The sequence below is a fragment of the Homo sapiens genome, chromosome 10, assembly GCF_000001405.40.
Source record: "Homo sapiens chromosome 10, GRCh38.p14 Primary Assembly".
In the NCBI taxonomy this organism is placed as follows: domain Eukaryota; kingdom Metazoa; phylum Chordata; class Mammalia; order Primates; family Hominidae; genus Homo; species Homo sapiens.
The window spans coordinates 1,320,564-1,346,116 of record NC_000010.11 but is presented as its reverse complement, the minus strand read 5'-3'; the positions used below and the strand labels follow the sequence as shown (position 1 = coordinate 1,346,116).

At 46.6% G+C, this 25,553-nt stretch overlaps 1 protein-coding gene across 1 annotated transcript in view, besides 1 other annotated feature; it reads left to right on the top strand.

Moving 5' to 3' along the window:
• The window catches only part of ADARB2 (adenosine deaminase RNA specific B2 (inactive)), a 560,213-nt gene that overhangs the window by 391,409 nt on the left and 143,251 nt on the right, over nucleotides 1-25,553 (top strand). The window lies entirely within an intron of this gene.
• Nucleotides 1,180-1,863: an enhancer, noted in NCBI's record as "H3K4me1 hESC enhancer chr10:1386449-1387132 (GRCh37/hg19 assembly coordinates)". NCBI's record gives its function as "activates a minimal SCP1, AML or CMV promoter by ChIP-STARR-seq in naive H9 embryonic stem cells {active_cell/tissue: H9 hESC(naive)}" and the evidence as "EXISTENCE:reporter gene assay evidence [ECO:0000049][PMID:30033119]".

Here is a 25,553-nt window from a genome sequence, read left to right as displayed (position 1 = left end):
ATTAAAGGCGAACAGAACAACAGTTACTATACAAACACTAAGTGTGAATGGGTCTTTAAAAAAATACAGGGCATTTTCCTTCTGATCATGATGATAATACACACAGTGGTGGAAGGCATCCTCTGCCGGCAGTCTCTCTTTTGCCTTAACCACGGTTCATTTGTGATGATTTTAGTAAAATGAAAAGTGTTTAGTAAAATGGCTCTCAGGTTGCAGGGTTTGGTGTGGAGGCTTTATTCAGTTATCTAAACTGAGAAATCTAAGTGAATATCCTTCCATCAAGCACACGTGTCGGCCTGCAGCATCCATGCAAAGTTGTTCTGGATTTCAATGCCAAGAAACAGGAATTCAAATGCTAAGAATAGACTGAAAGGGGCAGAGTCATGCGTCCATGTGGATTCTGTACATGACCCTACAATTCTTGTCCTGTCCCTCAAAAAAGAAGGGGTGCTGTCCTCACTATCAGAGTCACGGGGGGAAACACAGCAGCAGCCCTTCTGTCCAGCCAGCTCCCCAGATGGGAATCCAGGTCACCAGCAGAGCCGTGTGCATGAGGCTGGGCTGGCTCAGTTCCCAAGGGCAGGAGGACATGGGGTCAGTTGAGCTCTGACAACTGTGGTCACAGGAGTGTCCACAGGGTGCCGAAAAGGTCCTGGTGTGTCCATTCTGATGGAACCAAAGGAAAGCCTTCTGGGAAGCTGGAGGATGTGGACTTGAGCCTGGCTCTGCCTCTTGCCAGCTGGGTGTCCGGAGCAACATATGCAGACTCTGAGCAACCTCACCTGCGGAGCAGCCAGGGTTTCCAAAGGAGGGAGCTTCTCTGAGCACCTCTAAGGTCAGAGGGCATTGGCCCATGAAAGAGTCCCTGGACTGTGCAGTCCAGCCCATGCTGACACCATTCTGGGTCTGACGAGGCCTCGTGAGGGGGGACCACCGTGACAGGTGGGTCTGGCATAAGAGTGAAGCATCCTCACCCCCCAGGCTGCGGCGGTTTCCTCCACGTGCCCTCCTGGCTCACACCCGAGGCTGCGGCGGTTCCCTCCACGTGCCCTCCTGGCTCACCTGCCAGGCTGCGGCGGTTTCCTCCATGTGCCCTTCTGGGCAGCTGTGTTCCCTGAGGGGGCCACCTGCCTCTTTGGTGCCACCAAGTCCCACAGTCTGTTTTATTTCTTGGCCGGGGAGGACATTATGCACGGAGCTCGGAAACACAATGAAGGCCACATGGAGAAACAGCGGGCACACGGGTGTGGGCCTGGCCCAACCCCCAGCACAGCCAGGCTGAGGGCTCCTCTCCTGCCCATTCATAGAATGTGGGTGCTGACGCCAACCTCCTGGTTTATTTGGGGCCCCACAGTACAGTGTGTGTGAGAGTGCCTCGCCGTGCCCGTCCCAGAAGTCACAGCCATGTCCACGGCTTTCACTCTGACCACCCTCCTAGCACCAGTTGCTGACATTTTGCCTCCTGGGAAACAGTCTGTGAAAGGCATGGGGTCCGTGTGCGACTCCCTGTGGCTGCCAGAAGGGTGCTGGGGTCGGCCTCCTGCAGCGGCCTGGCGGGTCAGGTCACCTGCCCAGGCGTCTCCCCTCTTATACTCAGCGTTCAGCGCCCATTTATGCTTTGTGACAATTCTTGCCTTTTACCTTCCCTCTGTAAGTGTAACTTTAATTCTTTACTAAAGGCAGGGTTATTCCCAAACAACACCAGGAAAAATATTCTGAGCCCTTCCTTCTCCTGCCATGCAGCTTTGGGCATGCTGAGGCATCACCTTCTCACCAGGTCATTGCCGCGACGGCCACGCAGGCTCCAAGAGTTCACACATGACCTTGACTGAGTCCTCTCGCTGCTGAACAAAGGAACCTATTTCCCTGCCTTGTAGCTTGGTCTGATGGTTTGATGAGTAAATCGGATGCCGGTAGAATTTTAGAAACATTGACCCTGTCCGTTATCTTACAGAAATGGGACCCAAATCCTGTGAGGCAGGTGGCTTGGGTGAGGACTCACGGCCACAGGTGGGAGAGCCATGATTAGGAGGACCCAGCCCTGCTCAATCACACAGATGCCTCCTGCACAACCTGAGTTTTTTTAACTCTTATTTTAGGTTCAAGGGTACATGTGCAGGTTTGCTATATGGGTAAATTGTGTGTTGTGGGGGTTTGGTGTACAGATTGTTTTGTTACCCATGTGATTAGCACAGTGCCCGAGAGGTGGATTTTCAGTCCTCACCCTCCTCCCACCCTTCACCCTCAAGTAGTTCCCAGTATCTGTTGCTCCCCCATTTGTGGCCATAGGTGCCCAGTGTTTCGCTCCCACATATAAGTGAGAACATGGATATTTGGCTTTCTTTTCCTGCATTAGTTTGCTTAGGATAAGGGCTTCCAGCTCCATCCATGTTCCTGCAGAAGACATGATCTGGTTCTTCTTTATGGCTGCATAGTATTCCATGGTGTATATGTAGCATATTTTCTGTATCCAGTCCACAATGGATGGGCATTTAGGTTGATTCCATGACTTTGCAATTGTGAATAGTGCTGCGATGGACATGCGCGTGCCTGTGTGTCTATGGTAGAACAATTTATATTCCTTTGGGTATATACCCAGTAATGGGGTTGCTGGGTCAGATGGTAGTTCTGTTTTAAGTTCTTTGAGAATTTGCCAAATTGCTTTCCACAATGGCCGAGCTAATCTACATTCCCACTAGCTCATTCCCACTGAGCTAATTTACATTCCATTCTTTTTTCTCGCCAGCATCTGTTATTTTTGGACTTTTTAGTACTAGCCATTCTGACGGCTGTGAGATGGTATCTCATTGTGGTTTTGATTTGCATTTCTCTAATGATCAGTGATGTTGAGCTTTTTTTCATATGCTTATTGACTGCATGGATGTCTTCTTTTGAGAGGTGTCTGTGCATGTCCTTTGCCCACTTTTTTATGGGGTTGTTTGAAAACCTGGTTTTTATGTACAGGCTTCCTATGACTTCCAATGTCAGAAAAGCCCTGACTAACTTCATGTCTTGTGTATAGATCTCATTTCTCTTCACCCTAGATCTGTCTTTTATGCTCCATTCTTTCTCCTTGTGTTGTTGGGAACCAGCAGGTCATGACCACACCCTGTTCTTGTGTCTGCAAAAGCATTTTTTATCATACAAGTCTCTTAAGTTGAAGTTCCAACATTTTTCTCCAACTTTTGTGCATTCCCCAATTTGGAGATCACTTTCTTATGTGATTCACAAACAAGGCTCTTGTTTTTGAGATGCAGGGAGGAGACTTGTGTTCAAAAAAAGGACTAACTAAAAAGAGTAATAAATGTGGGAGAGAAGATGAGAACTGATCACAGCAAAAGACCTCTTTTCCTAATCAGCTTGTCACCCCATTGCAATACAGTCAGGTGGACAAAGATGCAGAAAAGGTGGCTGAACGATTGGGGCGGTAGGTTTCCTAACTCAGAGCCAGAGTGCTGCTGATGTCCTCAAGTGCTAGCCCATCACAGGCAGGGCTGGATGAGGCTGAGACTTTCCACCCCCACCCCACCCATGTCTGAGAGCATCTCAGGGTACTCTCCTCCCATGGGTCTGCGATCTCCAAGAGGAGGAGAGAGGGAAAGACTGGCTTCCCAAAGCTCCTCCTTCTCCCTAGGAATGGCCACCTGAAGAAGACTGCAGGAGTCAGGAGTCACTGTTCCCTGAATGTTTCTCGATGCTGTAATGTTTAATGTGAGCAGACAACCAAGCGGCGTGCATGGTAGTTGGGCAGAGGCCTCAGAGTCAAGGCCCTGTTGGTGTCAGTCCTGGTTCTGTGGGGCCATGTGTGTGTTTGAGGGACTTGCCTCAGCCTTCTCCATGGCATGGGGAAGCTGAGGAAGGGGGTCTATCACAGGGTGGTTTTAATGATAAAATGGGACATCCAGGCAGAGGGTTAAAAATTCATGAAAAGCTGGATTTGACTCTCACTGTCTTCACTGTAACTGCCCATCTTTGAGAGTGAGCAGGAGGTTGGGACACCCCAAGATGTGGGCACTGCCAGCCAACCACACATTCCTGCACAGCTGCAGCATAGTTCTGACTAAATTCCAGACAAAACCTGGCTGAAAGAAAATGTAGCAATACCATGATCAATGAGCCTGGGGTGCACACATCAGAAAGAAGAGTGAGAGGGTGAAAGTGGCTCAGGAAAAAGTTATCACAAAAGAGCCCCATTCCGCCTGAAGGAAATCGCCACTGCGGGGCACTTTGTTCTCTGGTGGATGCTGGTTATCGCTGCTGTGGGGCAGTTGGTTCTCTGGTGGATGCTGGTTATCACTGCTTTGGGGCACGTGGTTCTCTGGCTGATGCTGATTATCACCACTGAGGGACACTTTGTTCTCTGGTGGATGCTGGTTATCGCCGCTGTGGGGCACGTGGTTCCCTGGTGGATGCTGGTTATCCCCGCTGTGGGGCATGTGGTTCTCTAGCTGATGCTGATTATCGCCGTTGCAGGGCACGTTGTTCTCTGGTGGATGCTGGTTATTGCCGCTGTGGGGCGCGTGGTTCTCTGGTGGATGCTGGTTATTGCCACTGTGGGGCACGTGGTTCTCTGGTGGATGCTTGTTATTGCCGCTGTGGGGCATGTGGTTCTCTGGTGGATGCTGGTTATTGCCACTGTGGGGCACGTGGTTCTCTGGTGGATGCCGGTTATTGCCGCTGTGGGGTGCGTCGTTCTCTGGTGGATGCTGGTTATTGCCGCTGTGGGGCATGTGGTTCTCTGGCTGATGCTGATTATCGCCGTTGCAGGGCACGTTGTTCTCTGGTGGATGCTGGTTATTGCCACTGTGGGGCACGTGGTTCTCTGGTGGATGCTGGTTATTGCCGCTGTGGGGCATGTGGTTCTCTGGTGGATGCTGGTTATTGCCACTGTGGGGCACGTGGTTCTCTGGTGGATGCTGGTTATTGCCGCTGTGGGGCACATGGTTCTCTGGTGGATGCTGGTTATCACTGCTTTGGGGCATGTGGTTCTCTGCCTGATGATGATTATCACCACTGTAGGACACTTTGTTCTGTGGTGGATGCCAGTTATCGCCGCTGTGGGGCACGTGGTTCTCTGGTGGATGCTGGTTATTGCCGATGTGGGGCACAGGGTTCTCTGGTGGATGCTGGTTATCACTGCTTTGGGGCATGTGGTTCTCTGCCTGATGCTGATTATCACCACTGCGGGACACTTTGTTCTCTGGTGGATGCTGGTTATTGCCGCTGTGGGGCGCGTGGTTCTCTGGTGGATGCTGGTTATTGCCACTGTGGGGTGTGTGGTTCTCTGGTGGATGCTGGTTATTGCCGCTGTGGGGCGCGTGGTTCTCTGGTGGATGCTGGTTATCGCCGCTGTGGGGCACGTGGTTCTCTGGTGGATGCTGGTTATTGCCGCTGTGGGGCGCGTGGTTCTCTGGTGGATGCCGGTTATTGCCACTGTGGGGCACGTGGTTCTCTGGTGGATGCCGGTTATTGCCGCTGTGGGGTGTGTGGTTCTCTGGTGGATGCCGGTTATTGCCGCTGTGGGGCACGTGGTTCTCTGGTGGATGCCGGTTATTGCCGCTGTGGGGCGTGTGGTTCTCTGGTGGATGCCGGTTATTGCCGCTGTGGGGCACGTGGTTCTCTGGTGGATGCCGGTTATTGCCGCTGTGGGGCGTGTGGTTCTCTGGTGGATGCCGGTTATTGCCGCTGTGGGGCACGTGGTTCTCTGGTGGATGCCGGTTATTGCCACTGTGGGGCGTGTGGTTCTCTGGTGGATGCCGGTTATTGCCGCTGTGGGGCGCGTGGTTCTCTGGTGGATGCCGGTTATTGCCGCTGTGGGGTGTGTGGTTCTCTGGTGGATGCCGGTTATTGCCGCTGTGGGGTGTGTGGTTCTCTGGTGGATGCTGGTTATTGCCGCTGTGGGGCGCGTGGTTCTCTGGTGGATGCCGGTTATTGCCGCTGTGGGGTGTGTGGTTCTCTGGTGGATGCTGGTTATTGCCACTGTGGGGCGCGTGGTTCTCTGGTGGATGCCGGTTATTGCCGCTGTGGGGCACGTGGTTCTCTGGTGGGTGCTGATTCAATTCCGGACCCACGTGGCTCTAGGCTGTCTGGGGCCACAGCATACAGGAAAGTTGATAATCACAGGTGTGGCATGTTCCCTCTCCACTGCCCACCCCCAGCTGTGAGCCCACCCCTGCCCCTCTGGAGACACCAAGCCAGAATGCAGGAGTGCTGCTGTGAGAGTAGCTTCAAAACCGTCAAAACTTCTATCAAAAGCAGTTATTCCAAACCTTCTGTGTCATATTGTTGGGAATGCATTCCTTTTTGAAAGTCTGCACTTGGTCACGGGTGGGCTGGCACCTGCTATCGATGGATGTTTCTTCATCCTCTGAGCTCCCAGTGGGGCTTCAGAGCAGGGGCCAGAGCAGCCCCACACCCGCTCCCTCTGCAGATCGCTGCTGCTCAGCTTTTCATGGCCAGAAAAGCTCTTTTCTAATGGGAGTATTGACTTGGAGAATTTTCAAAGTTTGGCAAGAATCCACTGCAGCCTGGATGGGTTGATATTTATGCTGTGTTTGGTGTTGTTTGATTTTGTTTATCTGTTTTTAATCCCTTCTGTAATCAGAGCAAACGTAGGGATGTGAGAGGCAAGATGAAAGTGAAAACAGTAAAAATACAGCCAGAGTTTGTCTCCACCTCCTCACAACCTATTACATGAATGAAACGAAGGCTCTGAGTGACTCCTCCCCTAAAAGTGCAGTTGGCAGGAATGGGACCCAAAACAAAATGGCTTCTCCTTAGTCCCGTAGACTTCGGGTCAATGCAAGGTGCAGGATGCACTTAGCCATGTGTGAATCGTGGTCACCATGTTGCCAGCTCTGAAAACTGCAGATTTGACCCACCCTTTCCATGGGGCAGGGTTAACCTGAGAAGAGGCTATGCTGGGCTGTGGGGTCCATGCTCAGCTACAGGCGTGGCAGGAAGACATCTCGGCTCAGCACAGGGCGTGGCCGAGCAACCCGGCTAGTGTGGGGTCCAGGGAGGAGAAACCCAACAGACAGGAAACACTGTCTGAAACTTGGAAAGATACATCCTATCCAACCAAAATAAGGAAAGCCTCTCAAGAGAAGCGATGCTTTGAATCCAGAGTATGAGACCCAGCCGAGGCTGCTGGTGTTGGAATGTGGAGAAGAGTTGGGAAGATCAGCCCTCAAGGTCCGGAGCTGCTGGGAATGAGACAAATGTTGGGGTGAGTGAGCTCACAGCCACCCTGCCCTCCAGCCCATGCAAGGAAGCAGACAGCCCACCCACCGCCCTGTTTCCAGAACCTGGAACCTGGTGGCTGATGGAGAAGAAGGGGCAGATTTGTCTTCTTTCAGCCTAGAAATCCTTCCTCCACCTCTCTATCCACCATGCCAAAATGTCGGGGGGTGACCTAAGGCTGGGGCTGTGAGCTGGCCCACGTAGGAGCCACCATTTCCATTCATGTTTTAGATTCATTTATGAAACAGACAGAAATTGCCTAATTGAGAACTAGCTGGTCCATGTTTGAGGCCAACCTAAATAGAGAATTCTTGCCATTTTAAAACCCTGCGTCATTCTAAACAACACCTCACTTGACTAGGTGGCCTGGTTTTCTTGTTTCAGCATTTTGCCTCTACAGGATTGTTTTTGAGGAAATAGTTAAAACTGAGAATTTTATATGATAGGGATCTGAAGAAGAGAAATTGGAAATGGGGAAAAATGGTTTCAAAAATGAAGTTTATCTGCAATGTAGTTATTATGGACCAGACTCAGTGAACTGGGAACAGTCCACTGAAACTGTGCGGCCCAAGACAGTTGAGCTTTTGGTTGAGTGAATTTAAGCATTTGGGCTGAAGCTCTGAAGCTATGTTCGGTTAAACACTTATCAGTCTGCCAGCATGAATAAAAGGAGAAATGCCTGCCACATTCCTTAAGACACTCCCTATTTTTAACGAACTGTCTGTAGAGTTTGGGCAATGTAGTTCTTCCTCAAAGTTCCTTCCACATGGACTAGCTTCAGTGAATGTTTCTCATGTAAAATAGATGCTTTTATTTTCAGCCATGATGATTTTCTCCAATGATTCTACCCCATTTTGCAAAGCACCATGACAGTATTAAATGATGCCATGAGAAGCACGTGTCAGTCCCAGGTGACAACACAACTTCAGCAGAGCATCCAGTGTGTATAGTGTGCACGAGGTGAAGAAGGCTGGGCTGGGCCAAGACCTGGGAAGCAAATCCTATGACTTCTCCTCTTTGTGAATTAATGGCACCCCCTTTTATAGTCTGACCAAATATCTTAAAGATTTTATGACCCAATTCCTTTTCTCCTGGTATTTGAAATGGGAATTAAATGCAATAAAATCAATATAGTAAAATCGTATCAATAATTGGAGTGGCTAAATGAAACAATGGGTATCAGAAATTTTATTCTAATCCCTGCACTCCAGCCCCAGGGTAAAGTTGAGGTGATATGAGGCCTCGGTGGGAGGGATGGGTAACCCCGGCGCATGCACCTGCTTACCCTCAGAAGACCACAAAACTTCTCTCCAGAAAAAATTACACTTTCTCGGTCTGCTGAGGCCTCCCTGTGTCAGCTGAAGTTTTATTGTAGTCCTTACCATGGAAGAATTGTTTGCAGGATGTTTCAGCTCATTTCTTGAGCATTTCAATGGCATCACTGACACCAACCACTCTGAAAAGCTGGACTACTCAGTGGGATGCCCAGCATTTGGTGTAGTTGAGCCCAGCCTGCCATCTAAGGTGAGTGTGCACCTTCTCTGATTGCAGTCCATGCAGGTGAGCCATTAGAGCTTGCCGTTAGAGTCTAAATCCTGAGTGAGAATCACTCTGGGTATTTTGTGTTTCCTAATACTTGATTATTTGGCCCAAAAATTTAATATGGAGGCAAGTGCACACATACACCACATGCTTATAAACATGCACTATCTGGACCACTTTCTATTTTCCCCTAGTAATTAAGTGACCTTTGGAAAAGTTCATTCTTGGTTATATCTAAAACACACACACACACACACACACACACACACAGAAATCTTTAAGTAAAAAAGGGAAAAATCTTTATTTGGATTAGTTATAAAATAACCCAGTCCATTAATCTCCTGTCCGTTGATTTTTGGCTATCTGGACTCATTATCTGTGGCAGAGCTGTGTACTCTGTTTAGATGGAAAAGAAGAAAAGAGTCAGGAATCGGAGCAGAGGGGGAGACCACACATGCACTGTAAAGGTTACCACCACTGAGAATCACCAACGACGATGGAAAGAAATGAGCTGAAACATCCTGCAAGCAATTCTTTCAATGCTAAGGACAATAATAAAACTTCACCTGACACAGGGAGTCCTCAGTGGACTAAGAAAGCGTAACACTTTCTGCAGAGAAGTTTTGTGGTCTTCTGAGGGTGAGGAGGCTCTAGGAAATGTCTATTCCTTGAGGAACCCCTCATAATTCACAAGCAGCTGAACCTAAGTAGAGTTGCAAAGGTCATTCTTATTTTATAATATGAAGAAATATCCAAGGAGTCTTTAAACCCTTCATTTTCCTCCCATGGCTATGTGGTACTCGTACATCATAATACAGGATGATCTGCCTAACTGTAAGGATGTTCATTTCCTAAATATGAGGGGTGGGTTTCCCATGATGCTTCAGAAGTGTTGAGAGATACAGAGATGTGTGAGAATACCCTTAAATGCCTAAAGCATTGATTAGGAACCGGGTATTTAAGACACTGAGGAAACAAAGATAAACAGGATAACATTTATTAAGAAACAGTGAACCAGAGAAACAGATATGGAAATAGCCACACAATAACAAGATAATTGCTTTAATGGAGGTGCTACTACATTCCTTAAAGAGTCATCCAATTATTGCCAAGTGGGTAACATCTTAAATGCGTTACAGGATCCCATTGTTTGTAGGCCTCCTGCAGTGAAGCCCAAAGCCAAGAATCACTGTGAGAAGAATAGATGCTGAATTTATGCACTCCATGAATTCGAATGTTTGCATATTAGAGTTTCTTAAAATGGAGGACATGTTTAGAAATCACTGCATTCTACAACCAAATTATTTTTGAATAAGAGCTAATTATGTTTACATTTGTCATGAAGAAATATGAAAACATGCTATGCATGGTCAAATTAACCACCAAAGCCAAATGTGAAGACCCATTTAGCACTATTCAATTCCAAATTCAGTGTGAAGACACGGGGATTGCAGCGGGTCTGTAACGCAGGCATCTCTCTAATTTGCATGTGCCAAGCAGGATAAGCCTGGCAGTGAGCTGGTGCAGAAACAATGAGGTAATCGGGATGTGCACATTCTGCTTTGATGGCTTTTGAAATCAGAGAAAAGTGACAGAGTATTTCCTATTTAGGATGGGACTCACTTATCCTTATTTAAGACATGTCAAAATGTTCCTCAGGTTTTAGAAAAGATATAAATGATGGCCCAAGTTTGTTATAGCCCAACCAGTGGCTTGCAAGCAGTCAAGCCTTCCTGCCAGGAGACAGGTTTCCATCCCTTATCCATCTTTCCACCCCTCTCTCCATCATTTCCTCCCTCCAACCCTCCATCCATCCATCCATCCATCTGTCCTTCTACCCTTCCCCCATTCCTTCACCCCCCACCCTTCTTCCCTGTTTACCCATCCCTTCCTCTATTTCTCCCTCCATCCTTCCCTCCATCCCTTCCGTCATCCACCCCTCTATCCTTTTCTCCCTTCATCCCTCCTTCCAGCCTTCCCTTCATCCTTTCTTCCATCTCTCCCTTCATCCCTCCCTCCATCCCTGCATATCTCCCTCCATCCATTCCTCCATTCTTTCCTCCATCCTTCTATCCATCCCTCCCACCCTCCATCCCTCCTTCCATCATTCCCTCCCTCCATCCATCCATTCATCTCACAGACATCCTCAATAAGTACTATCTGCCCCAGGCGCAGGTAGCTGGAACACACAGAGACAAATAAGACAAACCCATTGCCCCTGAGAAGACCTCACAGTTTGAATTGTAACGCACACACGTAAGACTTGGCTGGGTGTCATGTTTAAAATGTAGCTCCTGGGCACTTAACCCAGAGCTACCAAACCATACTATCTTGGGCTGCACTTTTAACAAGGGCCCCACATGATTTTTAGTCATGATAAAATGTTAGAATTAAGCTCTGGGAAGAGTTTGAAGTGAGGACAAATAATGACAGTTAATCTTCTGGTGCCATTCTGGAGATGCACTGAGGGTTTTGTCAAAGCACTGAGGAATGAGGACCAGCTCCAGTCCCAGAAGTGAGGACCCTTTGCAGCAATGGCCCAGCTACACACAGGTGCTTCACAAAGACGTTACACACCCTTTAAAAAAATCAAACATTAAAATAAGAGGCTAATTTTAACTCTATACAAATATTGTTGACTTCTTGAAGAAACTTTATTTGTAAAAGGAAAACTTCAAATAACACAGAAAATAATCGGCCTTGCAATCTTAAAGATTCATCTATTAAAGTTATAAATCTTGACCAAGGAACCTACATGTGAGTAGCCAGATTTGCAGATACGAATGATAATAAATGCATTTATATATATGTACACATATAAACATGCAATACACTATAAATGTATTTATTATATACAAACACTTGCACATGTGTGTGCACCCACGTGTGGAGAAATATTCCTACTCTCTGGAAGCATATTTCTCTGTAGGAAGCACAGTGAGGAGTCCACGAGCCTCACAATGACAGCTTTAGACATCGCTGCTCATGGCACTTGACAGTCACAGCAAGCAGGGCGTTTGATAAAATATTTTCAAATGTATTCGACCAAAAGCCGCGGCCTGATCTCTTCCATACGAATGTCATTAGTTAACAAATTAATTATTCCACTTTCTGGAGATTACTAAACACTCACCTAGGCCACCCCGCCGCTTCTTCCATGTTTCCCGCCGTACCGCTGCTCCAGGAAACACAAAACAGCCTCCGGCCTCTGCCCATGAGTCTGCGTCTTGCCATGGCCCCTGCCTACTGCCTACCTGAAAAGTTAAAGACACACCTTGGCAGAAATAACCTTCATTGTGTGTCCAGTCTAGTTGTTCCGGCCTGTCTGAGTAACCTGCCGTGTAAGCATTTCTATAATGGGGCTACGGGCGTTTGTAAAAAGACCACTGGGGTGCTTGATGTCTGTTTTCTTTGAGAGGTTTGTATTTCATCAGTCTGGGTAGCAAAGGAAGCAGGAATTGTGTTTTAGGTTTGGGCTGCCTTTTTGTCCCTAGGAATTAGCATCCCTGTGGCATTACAGGTAAGTTGGATGAACCGAGGGCACAGGCAATCCCACCTCAGACGGCTCCTCTCACCATCGGCCCCACAGATAGTAGCTCACGGGCTGCTGCTTCCTTTTCATTTTATTGGACTTTGAGGTCTGCAGTTGATAAATCATCATCGTCTCTTTCCCCAGCCTCCTTTCTGCATGCTTTTTCTGTACAAAATTTTCTGTTACACATACACACTTTGCCTATTACAGGTATCATGTATTAATATGATGAGAAAAACAGTGTGCTGAGGTGTAAGGAAAATTACCTCTAGAGACTAAAAAATACCCTCAAAATTAAGTGGGGCCCATCTGAGCACAGAGAGGCAGTTTCATGTGGTGGTTGAGGTCCTGGACCTGGGAGCCCAACTCAGGATCTGAACCCTGGCTCTCCCTGTGAGGCCTTCTTTCAGCAAGTGACCCACTGTGCTGCAGAAAATTTGGATGGTAAGGGCACCCAGCTCACAGGGCCATGGTAGACAAAGGTAGAGGGTCTGGCACACATTGAGACCACAGCTTCTTCCCAGCAAAGCATCACTAGGTGCCTAAAGATTGTGTAACATCAGATGACTCCAAACTAAGCAATTATGGCATCAAAGTTAATCAAAACCAGGAGAAAAGCTAGTAGAAATCGAGTTAACTCAGCCAAGTCTGGGGCACATGAAATGATCTTGGCAATTGAATAAGAAACGGATCAAGCACTTTTCTCTTATGAGCTGAGGGATTTGTGTTCTGAGATGGCCACTTGCAATTGGAGTCAAAACTCAATAGCAGGAGAGGGCTGGAGACCAGAAATCTGGGCTAACAGAGGAAGGTTGTCAGATCGCTGGCTCTGCCACCATCAACACAAGTTGTCTCTCCCATTGATTGCGGGGATGGGGAAAAATGGACAACTCAAAATCTAGAGAGAGGGAAAACGGTAACTCTGCTTCCAATGTAATCAGAGAAATTCTTACAACTTAATCAATTAGACAATTTAGTCAAACAAATCACATGAAGCTTTGGGGTTTTTCCTCAAATAAATTGATATATCTCATCTGAATTAATCAAATTAACCAGTAGTGGTGTCTCTATTGGACAGATGCCATCACAGATCAGAATTACAACTTAGAGTGGGAGGGACATTGGAAGTCTCCAGTCCTGCACATGGGGAATTCTCTTTGATGTGTCTCTCCTCTGAGGTCAGGGGGCCAACGTCTTGTGCTTTCTGGAAGACTTTTGAATTCTCAACTCAAAATATCAAAAATATGCCATTCTTTACTGTAATATTTTTAATCAACAAAAGATATTTAACACCTGTTCGATGGCAAAAAAAAAAAAAACAAAACTGATGCTAGTTAGCCAGTCTATCTACTCTTTTATTTTTTATTTATTTTTTTTTTTTTTCTGAGACAAGGTCTCACTCCATCACCCAGACTGGAATGCAGTGGTGCAACACCAGCTCACTGCAGCCTCAACCTCCCGGGCTCAAGCAAACCTCCCACTTCTGTCCCTACTTCAGCCCCCCATGTAGCTGGGACTATAGACGTCCACCACCGCACCTGGCTAATTTTTTATTGTTTTGTGGAGATGAGGTCTCATTATGTTGTCCAGGCCACTCTAAAATTCCTGGGCTCAGGCAGTCTGCCTGCTTCAGCTTCTCAAAGTGTTGGGATTACAGGCGTGAGCCACCACACCCAGCAAGTGTGTCCATTCTTGCCTGCTTTGCAGATTTAAGACTTCGACTTCTTCGGATGAATATGACTGAAGAAAATGGCAGATGGCACCCTGAGCCCTGTCAACCAAAGCCAAGTGTTGCAGCCAATCTGACAACTGCAGGAGTATCTTTTCTGAAAATTTCCCAAACTGTTCAAATAGCCACCACCATACCATGGGGAAGGAAATCTCTGAAAAACCCTAAAAGCTCTCTGAATAATTCCAAATACATGGGTCCAGAATTCACTAGTGTAGTGTGTTAAAGTCTTCAAAGTGTGCGATATGTAGATGATTCACTGAGGTAAAGGAAAAAAATCTAGAACTTTTACTGATACTTTGATCTCAGCATTTTTATAACAACTTAATTGGGCTATAAATCAGATACCATAAAAATCACCCTTTAAAGTACAATTCAAAGGTCTTTACTATATTCACAGTGTTCTGCAACCATCATTCTTATCTTTGGATAGGAATTTTGGAACATTTTTCTGACCTCACAACAAACCTGTTAGCATTTTCCCCTCCCCTGGCCCCTAGCAACCACTGATCTTTCTGTCTCTATGATTTGCCTATTCTGGACATTTCAGGTAAATAGAATCACACATAAGTGAGCATTTGTGTCTGGCTTCTCTAAGTTTGGTGTCTTTAGGGTGTGGCATACGTCAGAACTTCATTTCTTTTTATAGCTGAGTAATATTCCACTGTATGGATGTCCAGAATCTCATTTATCCATTTGTCAGCTGATCCATCCAACATTTGGGTCATTTCTACTTTTTGTCTATTATGAATATTGCCACTGTGAACACTTGAATATGTGGTTTTATGTAGATATATGTTTTTATTTCTCTTGGGTATATACTTGGCAGTAGGATTGATGAGTTAAAATGTATTTAACATTTTGAGAAATTTCCAAGCTGGTTGCATCATTTTGAATCCCATCAGAAATGTATGAGGGTTCCAATTTCTCCACATCCTTGTCAACACTTGTTATTATCTTTCTGATTGTAGCCATCCTAGTGGGTGTGAAATGGTGTCTCATTGTAGTTTTGATTTTAATTTCTCTAAGTATTAATGATATTGAGCATCTTTTAATGTACCATTTGCCATTTCTATGTCTTCTTTGGAGAAATATGTATTCTAATCCTTGATCTATTTTTATTTGGGCCTACTTATTGCTGAGTTATAAAATGTTATTATGTATTCGGGTATATCATACCATTATCAGACATAGGAGAATGTCTTATCAGTGCCTCATCAGATATATGACTTACAAATATTTTCTCCCATTCTGTGGGTTGTCTTTTCATTTTCTTAATGGTGTCCTTTAAAGTACCAAACTTTTTTATTCTGATGAAGCCCAATTTATCTATTTTTTCTTTTCATGACTTGTGCTTTTGGTGTCCTAGCTAATGAATCGTTGCCTAAAGCAAGAGCACAAAGATTTACTTCTGTGCTTTCTTCTAAGGGTTTAAGCATTTCATCTGGAACCTTCAGTGCAACGTTGAGTAGAACCATCAGCACTGGTGAGAGCCAACATCTTTGCCCCAGTTCTGCTCTCAGGGGACAAGCCCAGCATTTCCCCATTTCACATGGTGTTGACTGTGGGAGTTTTGTAGATGCTGTTTATCAGGTTGAGGAAATTCATCTTTATTCCTGTCTGAGCATATCTCATCATTTTAAATTTATATTTTTGTATATGTTTTACAAATTAATAGAGTGATTTATAGATCCTCTATAAATGAGTGAGCATGCAAATGTGGAGAGAATGCTCTAAAGTACTTGGGGTGCATATCATGCAATCGAAGGTCACCAGCTCCAAGCATGGTGCCCTGAGGCCATGACCATGGCCAGCCTAAGCCGGGAAAGGCTCACAGCTGCACATCCTCTACCTGCTGCCTCTCAGATGCCTGCCAACACCCTAGGACGGCCCATGGCTGAATCGACCCTGACTCAGCCCTCCTTGGGAAGAAGTCTCTATTACCACCCTTACACACAAAAGAACGTGGGCAAAATTCACTGATTATCCAGGTATTCCCTACTGTCATAGAAATATCCAAAATCATAAAATACCATGCAAGGGAAGAGATAATGCATCATTGAACAGGTCATCCAGCCCTGGAAAACATTCCCGTCCTATCTAAATGTGTTTAAGAGAAAAAAAAAAAAAAAAAAAAAAAAAGGCACTTCTTCTACCTGGCTTTAGTAGTTCTGAGGCCCTGATTCACAGCCCCTGGTCCGGAGCCTTCATGAGGAGCATCAGCAAATCGGGATAACCACCCCTGCCTGGTCCCGCCCACTCTTACAAACGCTTCTGTCCAGTCCTATTTCCCAGAACAAACCAAGCCCCCAGGTGGTTCGCGGCTCCAGAATCAGGGACCAGTGCCTGGCAGGGATGTTGTTTGTCCCACACCATCGAATAAACAGATCTTAAAAGCAGCCATCAGGGAGGCGGAGGGATTAATGAACCCTCTAGACCAACACCCACTAGAGGACCCAGATGGAGCAGCCAAGTGCAGGGGAGCTGATGGGGCAGAAACCACCACCTGGATCCCAGCAAGGGTCAGGAGACCAAGACACTCAGCCTAAAGACATTTTCTACAGAACCCAGGCGCCCTGGGTGTGACTCAGGCACCCAGCCAGGTCAGGCCACAGCCTTCGCACATGGACAGTGGGTTCAGAATTTCAAAAGGTCAGGGCATCCTGCTTCTGGTCTGAAAGAGCTTAAACAAGGGATACATTTTTAGAGATTTAATCATTTAAACTCTTAAGAATCACTGGAACAAATTTAACAGTAGAGGTTTTTATTTTTTTATTCACATGTTCATTACTGTGAATGCCTAGATTTCCATTTAGAAATAGTCTGACAATTTTCACATCTCAACTGGCAGCAGGCACAGAATGCAGACAGCTGCCGAGATGCTCTCTGTCGTGCTGAAATGTAATATCGCAGTGCTTTGTTAAATCCTTTATCTGCATACCTGCCACAGGCTGCCCACACTGGGGTGTGAACTTCATATTTAATCAGAGCAGTGTGTCTGAACCAGATATGTCATAAATTAGCACAGCAACTAACTTCTGCAGACCTGCTTTTTTTTTTTTTTTTTTTTTTTTTAAGACAGGGTCTTGTTCTGTCACCCCAGCTGGAGTGCAGTGGTGCAATCATGGCTCACTGCAGCCTTGACTTTCCCACCTGTGTTCAGGTGATTCTCCCACCTCAGCCTCCCAAGTGGCTGGGACTGCAGACACACACCACCATGACCAGTTATTTTTTCTATTTTTGTAGAGTCGGGTGTCTCACTATGTTGCCCAGCCTGGTCTCAAATCCCTGGGCCCAAGTAATCCTCCTGCCTCATACATCTCAAAGTGCTGGGGTTACAGATATGAGCCACTACGCTTGGCCTTGTACTGCTTCTTGGTAAGCAAAATGAAATCGAAGTTTTACATGCCAAGCTCTGGAGGGGGATTTTTACGCTGGCATAATCCCATCCCCTCTGTTCTGTAAACACTCCCAGGAGGCTGTCCCGCTCCAGGAATGTCTGCAAAATATGATGATAAGAATAATTGAAGTATGTAATAATGTTTGCACTGTTCAAGAAAAAAAAACAGGACGCGGGTTTGAATGGAATAACTGAACGTTACGTGGTTGATTTTCAGGTAGTGTCTGCTCATTTCATCACATTGGCGTGGTGTCTACCAATTCCCTAACACAACTTCTAAACCCACTTTTCCACCCTTAAGAGCCTTTCTTCGAGGCCAATGCCATTTTGCAGTCCTATCCCTTCCACCCTCCACTGCTGTTAACTGCCAATTTCCTGGATGCTGCCCTTCGTTGACTACAGTCAGGGGTTCCAGAATCCCTCCTTGCCTCCCATAGAGGGGTCCCTGTGCCGCCACAATCGCTCATCTCCACGTCATGGGTGTTGTCCTTCCAACACACACTGACTCCTCTATTTCAACATTTCCGGAGCCTGCGCTGCCTCTCCACGCCTGCTGAGCTGCTTCATGTGGGTCCCACCATTTCCCGACTGGGTTACTGTAAGGCTTCCTCGCATGTCATTTCCTCCAGTGCAACTTCCCTGCAATCCGTGCCCCCAGAATGCGGAGGCGCCTTGCTGTGGGGAGGCGCTGTGAGGAGGCGCTGAGTACTGGTGAGACACTGAACTGTGAGGAGGTGCTGTGCTGTGAGGAGATGCTGAACTGTGAGGAGGCGCTGAGCTGTGAGGAGGCGCTGAGCTGTGAGGAGGCGCTGAGCTGTGAGGAGGCACTGAGCTGTGAGGTGCTGAGCTGTGAGGAGATGCTGAACTGTGAGGAGGCGCTGTGCTGTGGGGAGGCGCTGAGCTGTGAGGAGGCGCTGTGCAGTGAGGCGCTGTGCCGTGGGAGGTGCTGAACTGTGGGTAGGCACTAAACTGTGACGAGGCGCTGTGCAGTGAGGAGGCGCTGTGCAGTGCGGAGGCGCTGGGCAGTGAGGAGGCGCTGTGCCGTGGGGAGGCGCTGGGCAGTGAGGAGGCGCTGTGCAGTGAGGAGGCGCTGTGCAGTGAGGAGGCGCTGGGCCGTGAGGAGGCGCTGGGCAGTGAGGAGGCGCTGTGCCATGGGGAGGCGCTGGGCAGTGAGGAGGCGCTGTGCAGTGAGGAGGCGCTGTGCAGTGAGGAGGCGCTGGGCCGTGGGGAGGCGCTGGGCAGTGGGGAGGCGCTGGGCAGTGGGGAGGCGCTGTGCAGTGGGGAGGCGCTGTGCCGTGGGGAGGCGCTGGGCCGTGAGGAGGCGCTGTGCAGTGAGGAGGCGCTGTGCAGTGAGGAGGTGCTGTGCCGTGGGGAGGCGCTGGGCAGTGAGGAGGCGCTGTGCAGTGAGGAGGCGCTGGGCAGTGAGGAGGTGCTGTGCCGTGGGGAGGCGCTGAACTGTGAGGAGGCGCTGTGCCTTGGGGAGGCGCTGAACTGTGGGCAGGCACTAAACTGTGACGAGGCACTGTGCAGTGAGGAGGCGCTGTGCAGTGAGGCGCTGTGCCGTGGGGAGGCGCTGTGCAGTGAGGAGGCGCTGTGCAGTGGGGAGGCGCTGGGCAGTGGGGAGGCGCTGGGCAGTGGGGAGGCGCTGTGCCGTGGGGAGGCGCTGGGCAGTGGGGAGGCGCTGGGCCGTGGGGAGGCGCTGGGCCGTGGGGAGGCGCTGTGCCGTGGGGAGGCGCTGGGCAGTGGGGAGGCGCTGGGCAGTGGGGAGGCGCTGGGCAGTGGGGAGGCGCTGTGCCGTGGGGAGGCGCTGGGCAGTGGGGAGGCGCTGGGCCGTGGGGAGGCGCTGGGCCGTGGGGAGGCGCTGGGCCGTGGGGAGGCGCTGGGCAGTGAGGAGGGGCTGTGCTACCAGAGGCGCCGTGCCGTCGGGAGGCGCCGTGCCATGGGGAGGCGCTGTGAGGAGACGCTGAGCTGTGAGGAGGCACTGTGTTGTGGGAAGGAGCCCTATGGGTTTAACATTCTTGTGCTTCCTGTTTTTCTTCTTTTTCTTCTGCTCATTTCCTCCTCCATCTTCCTCGGCTTTTATAAAAATAGTCAAATTTCATGTTGGGATCCAGAGAAAAGTTACTTTCCCAAGTTCATATAAAAACAGTGACAGAAATGGTTACTTTTCAGAGTTCATAGAAAGACAGTGACAGAAACGGAATTAGCACAGGGTCATCTCCCTCGTGGGGTCTCGCCTTTCCTGCCAGATCACCCTTCTCAGTTTGCCCACGTCACAGAATGGTTCAGATAGTTCAGCAGTTACACTTTTGCCCCTCCATGGGTGCCCACCTGGAGTTATTGGATAGTTCTGATGTTTTCCTAGTGAGGGACTCAGTCAGTTACCAAGGCACTTCCCCAGAGCATCATAATTAGTGAGTTAAAATCGGCTCAGCCTTGTGTGCTGCAAAGTTCCTAGCAGCACAGTAAAGCTGAAGATAGTGACTTCCTGTTCTCTGTGTGTTTCACTCTGTGGACAAGACACCAAAATGGGTAAGTTTTACCAAGTATGGGGGGAATGGTCAAATTCACTTGCATTCAGTTTTCCAAGATAAGAGTATCTTACTGTTTACATATCTACTGTTTTAACTTTTTATTGCCTTCTCTCTTCGATTCGAATGGTTTCCTGTGAGAGAGTTGATTAGTAAACTATCTCAGCAAAGCAAGTATTGTAAACTTAGAGAAACTATATTCTGAGGCGTTAGGAGTTTAAACAGGAGAATCACTATGTCCCGGGCTTTGGGATGATTAATTCACCTCCAGAATGAACAGCTTGTTCTCAGGTGCGGATATTCTAATGGCAGTCGATGGCTCTTAGGCATCTGTTTTCAGAAGTGCAGGTGCCCAGTGCTTTCCTCCGTCCCACATGGTCTTCCTTCTCCCAGGACTGAGAAGGAAGCTTGAGTCTCTAGTACAAGAAAGATGTGGGAGGACTTCAGGGGCTGTCTCACAACCGCCTGGTGAACAGTCTCCATGGAGGAGGAAGGCGGAGCTGGAAAAACAGATGGGGTCCCGGGGTCTTGTCCCGTTTTGAATACTTTTCTTATTTCTTTTCCTGAGTGACAGAAATATTTAAATATGGAGGAAGTCAGCTTCCAATTCCACTTTACATTTCACCCAAACTGTTTGCAGTGAGTTACATGCGGGAGTGCTACTCAGTCCCTCCCTAGGAAAACATCAGAATTATCCAGTACATGCAGGAGTGCTGCTGGAACGTGAGGATATGAACCCTCGCCCCAAACAGCTAAAACATAGGAGGTGAGAGCATAGAATACACTTGGGGTGCAGGAGCGGAAGCAAAGTGTTAGGCGTGCAGTCGGAAGTCCTCATGAAGAGGTGAAGAGAGGTGCGGCATGAAGTTGTCATGGCCCCAGCGTTCGGGATGTTCTCATGAGGAGGGACCCCCCGGTAGAGGACTCTGTGTCCACGGAGGTTCATGGACACTATCTGTGACATGTCAGGCTGGGTCCTTTGCAGAACCCCTGAGCAGCATGTGGAGCAGACACTGTAGCTTCCCTTCCCAAGAGTACAGATTTGTAGGTTTGGCGTGAGGCCCAGAACTTCGTGTGAGTGTAAGTGCATGTTTAAGCTTTTAGTTCTGACAATTGTAGATTCACAGCGTTCTAGGACATAGTACAGAAAGAGCCCATGTACCTGTGCCCAGTGTCCCTCAGTAGTTATACCTTGAAGAGCCGGAGCACAACGCCTCACAGACAGACAGGCATTGACAATCCCCTGGCTCGCTCACGTTTCCCCAGTTTTAATTGTACTTGCGTTTGTTTAGCTCCATGTAATTTTATCCCAGGTGTAGGTTGTGTGCCCACCTGCACTGTCAGGACACAGATCACCCATCCCACAGGGCCCCTTGATGACCATGCAGCCACCTTCCAACCCCACTCCCCATAACTTTAATATCTGGTGGCCACTGGTCTGTTCTCCATTTCTATAATGTTGATATTTCATAAATATTATATAAATGCAATCATGCAGTATGTATTTGGAATCATGTCTTTTCACTCAGCATAATTCTTCACACACTCATCCAGGTCTTGCATTCATTCATATTTCGTTCCTTTTCATTGCTGAGTAGTATTCCACAATAAGCCACATTGCAATTCGTCTAAGCATTAACCTGTGAAAGAACATCTGGGCGGATTCCAGTTTGGGGCTCATATGAACGCAGCTGCTATAAACATCACTACAAATTTTCTGTGTGAACATAAATTTCCATGCCCTCTGGGGTAAATGCCCAAGAGTTTAATTGGTGGTTTGCATTGTAATCACGTTTAGTTTAATAATAAACATCCCTCCAGAGTGGCTGCACTGTTCCACCTCTCAGACAAGGCATGAGGGACCCACCCGGGCCCTTCTCAGCCTTTATTGTGGCCACTGCTTTTCACAACAGCCATTCCGTGATGTGTGGACTCATATGGTACCTCGTGTGGTTTTCATTTGCATTTCCTGAATGACTAATATAGTTTAGCATCTTATCATGTGCCTATCCATATATCCATGTATCGTCTTCTCTGAAAAGTCTTTGTGTCTTTTGCCCATTTCTGATTTAATTGTTTGTTTTTGCTGATAAGTTTTGAGAGTTCTTTGTGTAGTCTAGACACTAGTTCTTTGTCAGGCAAGTGAGTTGCAGATATTTCCTCGCAGTTTATGGCTTGTTGTTCATCCCTTTAAGGCAATCTTTCACAGAATGAAAGCTTTCCATTTTGATGAAATCCATTTCTTCCATTTTTCCTTTTATGGATGGTGCTTTTGGTATTGAATCTAAGATATCTTCATCTTGCTCTAGATCCCAAAGATTTTCTCCTTTATTTTTTCCTAAAAGTTTTATAGTTTACGTCTGTGGTCTACTTTGAGTTACTTTTGTGTAAGATTTTGTATAAGACATGGAGATGTGGGATTTACAGTTTACTTTTTTTTTTAAGGCTGTGTTTCCTCCACTGAATTACCTTTGTACCTTTACTGGGTTCTCTATTCTGCTCTATGGACCCATGCATCCGTCCATCCACCAACATCACATGATCAATTACTATAGCTATAGAGTAAACCTTAATATTCAGTAGAGTGATTCCTTCCACTTTATTCTCCTTTTTCTTAAAGTTGGCATTTCAGTTATTCTAGGACTTAAACATTTATATACATATTTTAGAATAAGCTTGTCTATGTCTACAAAATATTTGCTGGTATTTTGTTAAGAATTGCACCACACTATAGGTCAATTTTGGAATAATTGACATTTCTTCTATTTCAGTCTTCCAATCTGTGAATACGGCATGTCTCTCTATTAATTTAGGTCTTCTTTGATTTTTTTGTCAGCATTTTGTAATTTTCGTCATACATATCCTAACAGTGTTTTTTTTTTTTTTTTTTACAATTTCAAAGTATCCCATAGAATCTGTGAAGTATGATAAAGAGGATGATGACAATATTAACTAAAATTTAGATAGACTTCCTCAGATTCAGATGCAGTTCTGAATGTATTACTGTGTTAATTCATTTCACAAAACAAAAAGGGCTTTCCTCCTTTATTAACCTTCAATACTTTTTGAAATTCTGATATACTTTTTAAAAACTTTCCACTAACCAACCAAAGAAGGGTACTGTTTTCCTGATTCTAATAACACCATTGTAGTAAGTGTATCAGGGTAGTGTCAGCTTTCTCCTGGTGCCAAATGTGGTACAGAAAGTTGAATCAAATCTGTTCCAAGTATGGGCTACTGATGCCATCTTATTTATGTACATCATGAAAAAGAGAGCAATTACATTAACTTGAATTTTGAAATAATTTAAAATTATACACTTAATGCCAAATGTTTTTTCCTTAAGTAACTTGGGTAGAAATAATTATAAATGCCATACCTTTTCTTCTTGAATAGAGTGTATCGAGTATAACATTTTTTTCTAGACTTTCCATTCTTCTGGACATAGAAGATAATATTGTATTACAGTGGGTGATGTGCCAGTGGCTCTTATGATCTGTCAATTTTCCATTTTTCCTTCACTTAATGGCTCCAAATGACCAAATGGCTTAAATTCCCTTGCCTGTTTTGTTAATATTGTATTCTCCTTCCTCAATATTAGCCTCATAGGTATCATCTCTTCTTTTCTCATCATTCTCCAATCTGGTAAATCTCCCTAAACTACCTAGATTAATTGCCACATTGCCTAAACCAAAGACCTCTGTAGTAAGTCATGAAGAAATCTAACTCAAATACTCAGTTTGGAGAATTAGAAGAAGTACAAGGAGAGAGACAGAAGGTCAGAGCAGCATTTGAATTTAAACTAGAGTCCACCTTGCTCTGAAGCCTGGGCTTTTTCTTCCATCCTATACTGAGTTTTTTGAAAAAGACAAAATAGTTCCCAAGACAAGGTTCTTAACAAATGGGCTGAGTCCTTTCTACCAACAGAAAGTGCCCATCCGAAATTATATCCATCTCTCCCATCACCTCTCACCAAGCTTCAAGGGCTTCATTAAAAACACAGCCAGGAATGTTGAATCCTGCAGTTTCTCTGCCCTGAGTTATTTAGAAATATCACCAGGTACCAACTGGTGTCTCCTGAGTCCAGGGCTGGGTGGTCAGAGGAGGGAGGAGGAGGCAGGATGGAAACAATGCAGAGGGAGCATTTCTGTGTCTTCTGTGGCTCTCATCCCTCACCGAGAACCCAAAGTCCTCCCCCAGAGCCTCTCTCCTCCCCTTCTCATTCATGCTCCCTTCCTCTCTCTTCCCCTTCCCAATCAGCTGTGGGACACACATGCCCACAGGCAGGAATGATGTCCATGGAACCTACTTAGCCTCCTTCCTTCTACATTAGAGTACAGGGCTTACCAACCCATGCCATTTTCAACCTAGACAAAAGCCCTCGTAGCTGGGAAATTCTCCCTGGAACAGAGTATGATGATTTGTTTAAGAGAAGGAGGATATTAAAATAGTAGCATCAGTAGCACGGTGGCTCACACCTCTAATCCCAGCGCTTTGGGAGGCTGAGATGAGAGGATTGTTTAAGGCAGGGAATTTGAGACCAGCCTGGGCAACATAATGAGACCCCCATCTCTACAAAAAAATTTGAAAATATTAGCAGGGCGCAGTGATGAGCACTTTTAGTCCCAGCTAGTCAGGAGGCTGAGGCGGGAGGATCACTTGAGCCCAGGAGTTCAAAGCTGCTGTGAGCTAGGATCGTGTCACTGCACTCCAGCCTGGGAGACAGGAAGACCCTGTCTCTAAAAAATTAAAATTAAAAGTTAGTAGCATACTTCTGTATCTGAGGATGGCAGGCAGTGCAGTCACCTTTGCTCTCAATGGGCTGTTTTCAGGCAGGATAGGCAGGGATCTTCCGGATGAGGACAACATCATGGGCTTGCTCTCTGCAAGAGAGAAGAGGTGATTTCCATGAGGCAAGATTTGGACAGTGCTTCTGCAAAGTGTGTAGGAGGAGAGATCTGTATGACACCATCATATGGGGAGAACTATAAAGAGCCAATGGGATGGATTTGGGTTCCAAATTATTTATACTGGTTTTTAACTACAGAGTCATATGGTACCTCAGTATGACAGATGGAAGTCAGAATGAAACCTGTTGTTTAGGTTGTAGGAACTTTACATTCTAATGTCATCAGAACATTTCACAGTAAAATATGTTCCCACTGAACAATGAATCCCAATGACCCTGTGCTGCCACAGGCTCTGAATCTGGGCCAGTTCATTTCTGTTTACAATTACAATACGGCACTGCACATCCACAATGCCCCACCTCCAAAATGTTTTATTACAGTGCTTAAAAAACAGGAAAGAGGCATTTTATCATTTGCCTGCCGGCCCATTGTATTCTAATATTTTTTTCTTAAGGAATTATTTTATCATCTGTCTCTTATTTTGTAGCTCACCACATCATCTCTCATTATAGAAAAATAGGACCAACAGACTGACAGCAAATCTCAGCATCGCTGTTCTCTGGCAGAAGGACAGCTATAAAATCAACACCAAAGCTACCAAATAATTCATTGTGGAAAAATTCTCACTTTGCAGATAGTTGTTAAATTTGTATATATTATGACTAAG